Source organism: Homo sapiens, chromosome 12 (assembly GCF_000001405.40).
Source record: "Homo sapiens chromosome 12, GRCh38.p14 Primary Assembly".
Lineage (NCBI taxonomy): Eukaryota > Metazoa > Chordata > Mammalia > Primates > Hominidae > Homo > Homo sapiens.
This window is the reverse complement of record NC_000012.12, coordinates 56457196-56468567: the sequence shown is the minus strand read 5'-3', so window position 1 is coordinate 56468567 and position 11372 is coordinate 56457196. Positions and strand designations below refer to the sequence as shown.

General features: G+C 45.7%; 2 annotated features.

The window, feature by feature from the left end:
• Positions 63 to 242: an enhancer, noted in NCBI's record as "active region_6499". NCBI's record gives its function as "activates an Ori minimal core promoter by ATAC-STARR-seq in GM12878 lymphoblastoid cells {active_cell/tissue: GM12878}" and the evidence as "EXISTENCE:reporter gene assay evidence [ECO:0000049][PMID:35858748]".
• Positions 253 to 322: an enhancer, noted in NCBI's record as "active region_6498". NCBI's record gives its function as "activates an Ori minimal core promoter by ATAC-STARR-seq in GM12878 lymphoblastoid cells {active_cell/tissue: GM12878}" and the evidence as "EXISTENCE:reporter gene assay evidence [ECO:0000049][PMID:35858748]".

Here is an 11372-nt window from a genome sequence, read left to right as displayed (position 1 = left end):
CGCCTCCCGCTTACAGACACAGCCATCTGCCCGCCCGCTCCCCTAGCACGTGGTGCGCGAGGGGCGGCCGCGCAGTGTTATGACGTAGGCGACGCCCGGGGGCGGGCGGCCGCCAAGGTAGTGGTTTCTGTTCTGTTTCTGCCCGCGGTTAATGCTGCTTATTCAGTTTTTCTGCGTAGACGAACGCTGCTCACATTTGAACTACGTAAAACTTTTAGAGATATAGTGTAGCCAGATGCTTAGAAGTATAGATTTTAAAATTAGACAGTACTGTAATTAGCTTTGATCCCGGCTTCACTGTGTGAGTTTGGGCAACTCACTCCACTTTTCTGAGCCTTAGTGTTCTAATTTATAAAATAGAAATTATATACAGACCTTAGTAATAATTAAGTGAGAATAATCTAGGCCGGGCGCGGTGGCTCACGCCTGCAATCTCAGCACTTTGGGAGGCCGAGGCAGGCGGATCACGAGGTCAGGAGATCAAGACCATCCTGGCCAATATGGTGAAACCCCGCCTCTACCAAAAGTACAAAAATTAGCCGGGCGTGGTGGCGCGCGCCTGTAATCCCAGCTACCCGGGAGGCTGAGGCAGGAGAATCGCTTGAACCAGGGAGTGGGAGGTTGCAGTGAGCCGAGATTCTGCCACTGCACTCCAGCCTGGTGACAGAGCAAGACTCCATCTCAAAAAATAATAATAATTAATCTAGATATATATTGGCAAATAGCAACCATTGGGTAATTCACAGTTGTTTATAATTAATAGTAAATACATAAATACTGTTAATGTTGGTTTTGTATGTTCAAGGCTAGGAACGGATGGTTTAACTCAGCATTCAGTTTTCTGAACTTAACCAAGAGTAGCAATATTTTGGTTCAGGGTATGAGGTAGGAGATTATGGACAGCCTATATTGAACATTTCGATCTGCATTCCATTTTATTTTATTTTTTGAGACAGGGTCTCATTCTGTCACCCAGGCTGCATGCAGCACAGTGGCGCAAACACAGCTCACTGCAACCTTCATCTCCGAGGCACAAGCGATCTTCCTGCTTCAGCCTCCCATGTAGCTGGGACCACATGTGCACGCACCATGCCCCGTTAACTTTTTTGTAGAAACGGGGGTTTCGCTTTGTTGACCAAGTTGTTCTCGAATTCTCGGGCTCAAGCCATCCTCCCACCTTTGCCTCCCAAAGTGCTGTGATTACAGGTGTTAGCCACTATGCCAGGCCTACATTTTTTTAATCAGTCCACTTCTCAAGGTTCTGCTGGCCAGTGCAATAGCAACATACATCCCACCTCCATCCTCCTACCCCTCAAAAAAGGATTTTAGATATATATTTTTAAAATGTATATTCTGAGACGGAGTGTCACTCTATCACCCAGGCTGGAGTGCAGTGGTTTGATCTTGGCTAACTGCAGCCTCTGCCTCTGGAGTTCAAGCAATTTTCCTGTCTCAGCCTCCTGAGTAGCTGGAATTACAGATGCCCACCAACCACACCTGGCTAATTTTTTTTTGAGACTGAGTCTCACTCTGTTGCCCAGGCTGGAGTGCAGTGGCGCAACCTTGGCTCACTGTAACCTCCGCCTCCCGGGTTCAAGCAATTCTCTTGTCTCAGCCTCCTGAGTAGCTGGGACTACAGGCGCATGCCACTACGTCCGGCTAATTTTTGTATTTTTAGTAGAGACGGGTTTCACCATATTGGTCAGGCTGGTCTCAAACTCCTGACCTCAGGTGATCCACCCATCTCAGCCTCCCAAAGTGCTGGGATTACAGACGTGAGCCACTGCACCTGGCCTAATTTTTGTATTTTTAGTAGAGACAGGGTTTCACCATGTTGGCCAGGCTGGTCTCGAACTCCTGACCTCAAGTGATCCACCCACCTTAGCTTCCCAAAGTGCTGGGATTACAGGTGTGAGCCACCACACCTGGCTTCTGGCCTAGATATTTAAAAGCCTAAATAACTAACCAAAAATTCTTCCTCCTCTCCCAGAGTGGTAACTGCCTTGAATGATGCACATGGCCCTAGTTCAGGCCACTGTCATCCTTGGCCTTAAGGCTTTCTCATTTCTTTTATTTATTTATTTTATTTTATTATTTTTTTTATTGAGACTGAGTCTCACTCTGTCACCCAGGCTGGAGTGCAGTGGCAGAATCTCGGCTCACTGCAACCTCCACTGCCCAGGTTCAAGCAATTCTCCTGCCTCAGCCTCCTAAGTAGTTGGGACTACAGGCGCCCACCACCACGCCCTGCTAATTTTTGTATTTTTAGTAGAGACAGGGTTTTGCCATGTTGGCCAGGCTTGTCTCAAACTCCTGACCTCAGGTGATCTGCCCGCCTCTGCCTCCCAAAGTTCTGGGATTACAGGCATGAGCCACCGCGCCTGGACAAGGCTTTCTCATTTCAATGTAGAAATGTGAGTAGCTTCTAAGCTGATCTGCCAGCTTCTATCTGTCTGCTTCTAATTCAATGTCGGCATTACAGTCAGACATGCAACCTCCCTGCTTAAATCTGTTAATGTGCCTGCCTCAAATTCCCTTACATGGTCACAAGGCTTTACATGATATGACTACTGCCTACCTTCTTTGTTCGTTTTCACAAAACATGATTTCTTCAAGAGTTCACAGGGCCATTGCAGTATAATTCACTAGGTGCCATGATTGAAGTCATACAGGATGCTCAGGAAACAAAGGAGAAACCTCTGATTTAGTATATTTGAGAGTGGTGGGAAGAGACTTCCCAAAAGCCATACCTATGGCTTGAAAAGCAGAAATGGTTAAGCAAGTGAGGGAATCTCATGAATTGCAACCCATATTCAGCCAGTTGCCCAGAAACCATGGAGTCCTTGGCTTGTCTGTCTCCTCTCACATATCTGATTGTCACTGAATCCCTATCACATTCCCCCTACTCCTACCAGCCCCCACTGTCAACTGCATCAGCCGTCTAACTTGTCTCCATTCTCCCCAGTGCTGCTGAGTGAAACCTATATCACCCATTAGGTTGTGAATCCTTTTTTTTTTTTTCTGAGACAGAGTCTCACTGTGTTGCCCAGGCTCAAGTGCCGTGGTGTGATCTTGGCTCACTGCAACCTCCGCCTCCCAGGTTCAAGCGATTCTCTTGCCTCAGCCTCCTGAATAGCTGGGATTACGTGCACCTGCCACCACACCTGGCTAATTTTTTTGTATTTTTAGTAGAGATGGGGGTTTCACCATCTTGGTCAGGCTGTTCTTGAACTCCCGACCTTGTGATCCACCTGCCTCAGTCTCCCAAAGTGCTGGGATTATAGGCATGAGCCACCACTCCCGGCTTAGGTCATGAATTCTTAAGAAAGGTGATTAAATACTGTGTTCTCTTTGCCCCAGGGCCTTAGTGTTCCCTTTACCACAGAATATGTGCTCATTAAAACGAATGAGTATAAAAGGAGAGGGTGGTTGGGCATGGTAGCTCATGCCTGTAATCCCAGCACTTTGGGAGGCTGAGGTGAGAGGATCACTTGAGCCCAGGAGTTCGAGACCAGCCTGGGCAACATAGGGAGACCGTATCTCTACAAAATAAATTTTAGAATTAGCCAGGTGTGGTGGTGCACGGCTGTAGTCCCAGCTAATTGGGAAGCTGAGGCACGAGGATTGCTTGAGCCCAGGAGGTCGAGGCTACAGTGAGCCTGGGCAACGAAGTGAGACCCTGTCTTAAAAAAAAAAAAAACAAAACAAAAAAAAAGTTTTGTTCCCATATTTTTTGGACTGCAGTGGCTCATTCTCTCCACCAGTTTTTTTTTTTTTCTTTTGAGACAGAGTCTGGCTCTGTCACCCAGGCTGGAGTTCAGTGGCGTGATCTCAACTCACTGCAACCTCCGCCTCCCAGGTTCAAGTGATTCTCCTGCCTCAGCCTCCCGAGTAGCTGGGACTACAGGCATGCACCACCATGCCTGGCTAATTTTTTGTATTTTTAATAGAGACGGGGTTTCACCGTGTTGGCCAGGCTGATCTTGAACCCCTTTCCTCAAGCGATCTACCCGTCTTGGCCTCCCGCCCGGCCTCGCCACCAGTTTGGAGTGCAGTGGCCCATTGTCTCCACCAGGGGTCAGCATGGCCCAGACTTTTCAGTCAGCTAAATAACGTGAGAAGAGAGCTTAGAGATTTCCTTCAGCAAAGTCCTGCTCTGTCAATACTTTGCATTTTGGTAGTAATGGGAAGGTTCCAGGATTGTGTTTCTGTAGGATTTCCCCTTTGGTTCCTGTGAGAGCTGAAGCAATCACTACACATCCCTCACACCGTCACTTAAGACACATCCATTACTTTATTCCTTATTCAGGGAATAGCCTTGCTTGTCATCTCTTGTATTATTTACCTTTTACAGGCTGACCATTCATTTGATAAATTCACCTTCCTCATTCAGATGATTTAGCTGCCTCGTTGCTCATTGTAATTATAATTCTTTTTTTTTTTTAAACAGATTCTCGCTCTGTCACCCAGGCTGCAGTGCAGTTCAGCTCACTGCAAACGCCGCCTCCTGGGTTCAAGCAGTTCTCCTACCTCAGCCACCCAAGTAGTTGGGATCACAGATGCGCACCACCATGCCTGGCTGTATTTTTAGTAGAGACGGGGTTTCACCATGTTGCCCAGGCTGGTCTCGAACTCCTGGCATCCAGTGATCCGCCCACCTCAGCCTCCCAAAGTGCTGACCACACCCAGCCTATAATTCTTAACTTAAATGCAAAATAATTAGAATATGATAGAATTTTACTTAACAGACAAAACGGGAAAGACATTGAGGCAACAGGAACAGCTTAGACTAACGCACTGGGTTATGAAATTTAGAACAGAGTATTGGAAGGAACCACAAGGAACACAATATTGCCAGAGTCTCATGTTGGGGAGACAAGGAAAGCAGTTGGAAAACTTGAGGCTGGATGATGAAGTGGCTTACATGCCGTGAGAAGGAGTTTAGACTGTCTTTCAGGCATTCAGGAACTGTTGAAGGGAACACAGAGAAGTTACAAATTATGGGTACCATATAAAGATAAAGCTGGCAGCAATATGGAGAATGAATTGGAAGGGACGAGACTAGAAACAGGGACAAACAGGGTCTGAGACCACTAAAGTTCTCAGGTGAAATGTGGTGCAGACTCAGTTAACTGAGAGGTAGAATTCTTGGAGCTTTGGTGACATTAGATGGAAGTGAGAGGATGAGGGAAGGTGTCAAAGCTGATTCATAAGTTTCTGACTTTCTGACTTAATAAGGGAATGCAGAAGGAGAAGCATGTTTGGATGAGAAGATAATCAGTTCAGTTTTGGACGGGCTAAATGAAATGTTCTATAGATATATGGATATGCATCTCAAGGATGAAGTGGATGTAGATGTAGATGAGGTCATCCAAAGAGAGGGTATAGGGTAAGTAGGGAATAAACGGAAGGTACAACCCTAAAAAATACCAATACATGAGATAAATATAAAATGCTTAGAACAGAACCTGACCATAGTGAGCACCGGTCTGCTTGGCTTGAAGTTGTATCTGACTCCCTAGGAAAAGAAAGGAGGAGGCAAGGTGGGCTAATCTCTTTATTACTTGATTTCTTGGATTACCCCATTTCTAATTTGTGGGAATCCTGGCCTGATCCAAGTGCTAATTGGATCCCTTAACTATGGATGGGAGAAAGATGATGCACTCAGTGCTTGGTGATTGTTCTGGACTTTGCCAGTAGTCAGCAGTCAGCAAAGCATAACCAGAGAAAGAGGGAGAAGGGCAGGGGGTGGGGAGGGCCTCAGGAGCTAGCCAAAGGGGCTGCTGGGCTGGCTTGTGCTATGCTGGGGCCTTTGTCCTGCTGAAACTGTCCACACAATGGAGCTGGGTTACATGCTGACCTGGCATTCTGAGTAGGGGGCTGGGATAGAGATTCTGTATGGTGGAAGCAGAGATGGATAGTCACCTAGTTCCTGAGGACTGCATCTCCATTCATCCACAATGAAATCACTAGAGAGGATGTTCAATATATGATAATAATAACTTATGTTTATATGTGATTCACACGTCAATTCATTTATACTTTGATTTTTTTGTTTTTTAAGAGACAGGTCTGCCTACATTGTCCAGGCTGGATTTAAATTCCTGGGCTCAAGCAATCCTTAACCTCAGGCTCCCAAATAGCAGGGACTACAGGCATGTGCTACTGCACCCAGCTCATTTATTTGTATTTATTTTATTTTGTTTTTATTATTTTTATTTTATCTATTTATTTATTTTTTTTATTTTTATTTTTTTGTGAGACGTAGTCTCATTCTGTCACCCAGGCTGGAGTGCAATGGCATGATCTCAGCTCACTGCAGCCTCCACCTCCCGGGTTCAAGCCATTCTCCTGCCTCAGCCTCCCAAGTAGCTGGGACTACAGGCATACACCACCATGCCCAGCTAATTTTTATATTTTTAGTAGAGACGGGTTTCACCATGTTGGCCAGACTGGTCATGAACTCCTGGCCTCAAGTAATCCGCCTGCCTCGGCCTCCAGAGTGCTAGGATTACAGGTGTGAACCCCTGCGCCTGGCCTTTATTTATTGTTTTGAACAGAGTCTCCCTCTGTTGCCAAGGCTAAAGTGCAGTGGTGCCATAAGCTTACTGCAGCCTTGAACTCCTGGCCTCTGGTGATCCTCCTGCCTTGGCCTCCCAAAGTGCTGGGATTACAGGCATGAGTCACCATGACTGGCTATTTTTCCTTTTACATTTTATTTATTTATTTTATATATAATTTATATATATAATTTATTTATATATATTTACATTTATTTATATTTTTACAATCTGGCCGGATAGGCAGTAAAATACTATTTTGTTTTCTTTTAAAGAGACACAGTCTCGCTCCGTCACCCAGGCTGGAATGCAGTGACATAATCATAGCTCACTGTAGCCTTGAATTCCTGGACTCAAGTGAACCTTCCACCTCAGCCTCCTGAGTAGCTAAGACTATAGGCACGTGCCACCACACCCTCTAATTTTTAAAAATTTCTTATAGAGACAGGGTCTTGTTATGTTGCCCAAGCTGGACTTGAACTCCTGACAAGGTAGTCCTCCTGCCTTGGCCTCCCAAAGTGTTGAGGTTACAGGCACGAGCCACCACACCTGTCCAGCGTAGATCGTTTATGGAACTCAAACCTGATATATTCTTCAGGTCCTGATAATATGAGCTGGCTAGGGAGTAGCTGCAGTAAGATGGTGAGTCAGTCCTGGACATCCTTAGAGGTGACTATGGTAATCACATGGGACCCACTGTGGAGGAACACAGCAAGAAAAATAGCTCTGCCTGCAGATTTCCTAAGCTATATAGACCCACTTGCTCTCTATTACTATGGATTATGGTTGTATAGCACTCTCTGGGACTAAGCAATGGAGCCTTCCTTATTGAAGTGGGGAGTAAGCTAGGATCACTGTCACTGTCCTAAAGTTTGAAAGACTGATCATTAGTAATCAAGAGCTAACTCAGTTAAGTATAGAGACAAATGAGAATTCAGGGTGATTACTGCTAGGAGCCATTAAGATTTATAATAACTTTGTAATTACTCAAATTTGTTATTTTACAAATCCTTTCTCCATTTTCATAGTCCCTGTTGGAAAAAACTTCAAAAACATTTGTATACTTACTTAATGCCAGAAGAAAAGAAAGGTGGAGAATCTATAGCTAAAAACATTTTGCAACCCCTGAAAAGAACCCCAAATACAAGAATGAAGTAGAATAATAGCAAAGGGGGGAACAAGTGAACAAGAAAAAAAGAGGAAGATGAACTGGAGTGTGTCCTGGCATCACCCGGGAGGGTTAGACCCCAGAAATCCCCTTATTCCTAGGCAATTCTCCAAAGTCACCTTCCTTGGCAGATTTCTTTTCTTTTGTTTTTGTTTTTATTTTGTTTTGTTTTTTAAGACAGAGTCTCACTCTGTGGTCCAGGCTGGAGTGCAGTAGTGCAATCATGGCCCACTGCAGCCTCAACCTCCACAGGCTCAGTGAACCACGCTAAGGCCTGGTTATTTTATGGTGTTGTTTTGAGACAGGGTTTCACTCTGTTGCCCAGGCTGGAGTGCAGTGGCACCATCACAGCTCACCGCCTCAGCCTTCCAAGTAACTGGGACCACAGGTGCATCCCACTTCTGAAGGGAGACACAGCCTTTTTTTGTTTTTTGTTTTTTGTTTTGAGATGAAGTCTTGCTCTGTCGCCCAAGCTAGAGTGCAGTGGTGCAATCTCGGCTCACTGCAAGCTCCGCCTCCCTGGTTCACGCCATTCTCCTGCCTCAGCCTACCGAGGAGCTGGGACTACAGGCGCCTGCCACCACGCCCGGCTAATTTTTTGTATTTTTAGTAGAGACGGGGTTTCACCGTGTTAGCCAGGATGGTCTCGATCTCCTGACCTCGTGATCCGCTCGCCTCGGCCTCCCAAGGGCTGGTATTACAGGCGTGAGCCACTGCGCCTGGATTGTATTTGTTTTTTGTTGTTTTTTTGTTAAAAAGGCTAGGCTAAGGCTGGGTGAGGTGCCTCACGCCTGTAATCCCAGCACTTTGGGAGGCCAAGGCAGGCAGATTGCTTGAGCCCAAGAGTTCAAGATAAGCTTGGGTCACACGGCAAAACCCCATCTCTACAAAAAATACAAACATTAGCTAGGTGTGATGGTGCATGCCTGTAGTCCCAGCTATTTGGGAGGCTGAGGTGGTGGGAGGATTGTTTGAGCCTGGGAGATTGCGTCACTACACCCCAGCCTGGAGTCTCACCTTTTTTGAGACAGAGCAAGACCCCGTCTCAAAAAAAAAAAAAAAAAAAAAAAAAAAAAAGGCCAGGTTCTATGGTTATGCTTGTAATCCCAGCACTTTGGGAGGCTGAGGTGGTAGAATCGGTAGGTTGGCTTGAAGCCAGGAGTTTGAGACCAGCCTGGGCAACGCAGTAACACCTCATCTCTACAAAAAATTTTTAAATAAGCTGGGTGCAGTGGCACGTGCCTGTAGTCTCAGCTACTCAGGGGGCTTAGGTGGGAGGATTGCATGAGCCCAGAAGTTTAAGACTGCAATGACCTTTGATAGCGCCACTGCACTCCAGCCTGGGCAACACAGTGAGACTATGTCTGTAAAAAAAATAAAAATAAAAGGCTAGGCTAGTAGAAAACAATAAGCATACTAATTGTATGTAAATCTATGCAAAAACTCAAGTAAGCTTTTAAGAGTTCATCTCTAGTTAGGTTTGAAAGAGGCTGGCATTTATCTAAGTGGGGAGACTGATGTCAAAGGAAATGGGCCGAGGTTTAGTTCTCCATGGAATTCTTGTCAATGTTTGATGAAGAATAGAGGCAAGAGGATGGTAGCTGCAGATAAGGAAAGCTAGCCATTTTATTTGTCGTCTATAAGAGATTGAATTAACTGCCCTTTGCTGTTCCATCTCTTATTATAAGAGGCTACAGGATTAGTGGGTAGAGATAACCCATTCCTGTTAATAAAACCCCATTGAGTGGCTTCTGTTTACTTTTTAAATTTTTTAATTATAATTTTTTTTTTTGAGACGGAGTCTCACTCTGTCTCCCAGGCTGGAGTGCAGTGGTGTGATCTCAGCTCACCACAGCCTCCACTTCCTGGGTTCAAGTGATTCTCTTGCCTCAGCCTCCCAAGTAGCTGGGATGACAGGTGAACACCATGACGCCTGGCTAATTTTTTTGTGTATTTTTAGTAGAGATGGGGTTTTGCCATGTTGGCTAGGCTGGTCTTGAATTCCCAACCTCAGATGATCCGCCCACCTCAGCTTCCCAAAGTGCTGGGATTACAGGTGTAAGCCACCGCACCCAGCCAAATTTTCAATTTTTTTTGAGACAGGGCCTGACTCTGTCACCAAGGCTGGAGTGCAGTGGTGCCATCTCAGTCCACTGCAACCTCTACCTCCCAGGCTCAAGTCATCCTCCCACCTCAGCCTCCCCAGTAGCTGGGACTACAGGTGTGTGCCATTGTGCCTGGCTAATTTTTGTATTTTTTGTACAGGAGGGGTTTTGCCATATTGCCCACGCTGCTCTCTGACTCCTGAGCTCAAACGATCCTCCTACCTCAGCCTCCTGATTTGCTGGGACTACAGGTGCAGGTAGCTCCTGTTTTTAAGTGCTTTATTCTGTGCCAGACACTGTACTAGTCTCTTTACCTACATTATCTTATTTGATACAGAGGAAACTGAGACTCAGAAAGCTTATGCTAATCTGGCCAGGTGCAGTGACTCAGGCTTGTAATCCCAGCACTTTGGGAAGCCTCGGCAGGCGGATCACTTGAGGCCAGGAGTTCGAGATCAGCCTGGCCAACGTGGTGAAACCCTGTCTCTACTAAAAATACAAAAATTAGACAGGTGTGGTGGCGTGCACCTGTAATGCCAGCTATTTGGGAGGCTTGAACCCAGGAGGTGGAGGTTGCAGTGAGCTGAGATGGCACCACTGCACTCCAGAGTGAGAGACTCTGTCTCAAAAAAAAAAAAAAAAAAGCAAGCAAGCTTATGCTAATCTAATCTATTCGGCAAATATTTATTTACTGCCTTCTGTGTGTTAAGCACCAGGTTCGCACTGGTGAAAAATCAGACATGGGCCCTGCCCTCCTGGAACCTATATATAGCGGGGATAACTTGCCCAACTAGAAAGTGGTAAAGCATATATTGTTGTCACTGCTGTTTTTAATTAATTTGGGGTACACAGAATATTTTGTTGTTCATGATATCCTCTCCTCATTGGCCTATATATATGGCTCCCACTTATTTGTTTTTAATAATGATAATTAAGCATCATTTCTAACCATCCATCCAATAGAAAAACTAGAACCTTGACAATTACTATTATTTTATTTTATTTTATTTTATTTTTGAGACTGAGTTTCGCTCTTGTTGCCCAGGCTGGAGTGCAGTGGCACAATCTTGGCTCACTGCAACCTCCACCTCCCGGGTTCAAGCGATTCTCCTGTCTCAGCCTCCCGAGTAGCTGGGATTACAGGCACCCACCACCATGCCCGACTAATTATTGTATTTTTAGTAGAGATGGGGTTTCACCATGTTGGCCAGGCTGGTCTCCAACTCCTGACCTCAGGTGATCCGCCTGCCTCAGCCTCCCAAAGTGCTGGGATTACAGGCATGAGCCATTGCCCCCAGCCAACAATTACATAAAGTTACACGATGTGCTACCCAAGTTTCTCGTGGGTATATAAGTGAGAAGTGGAGTTGCTGAGTCAGAAATTATGTAATTTGACCTGGCATGGTGGCTCACACCTGTAATCCCAGCACTTTGGGAGGCTGAGAGGGGCAGATCACTTAAGGTCAGGAGTTTGAGACCAGAGTGGCCAACATGGTAAAACCCCGTTTCTACTAAAAATACAAAAATTAGCTGGGCATG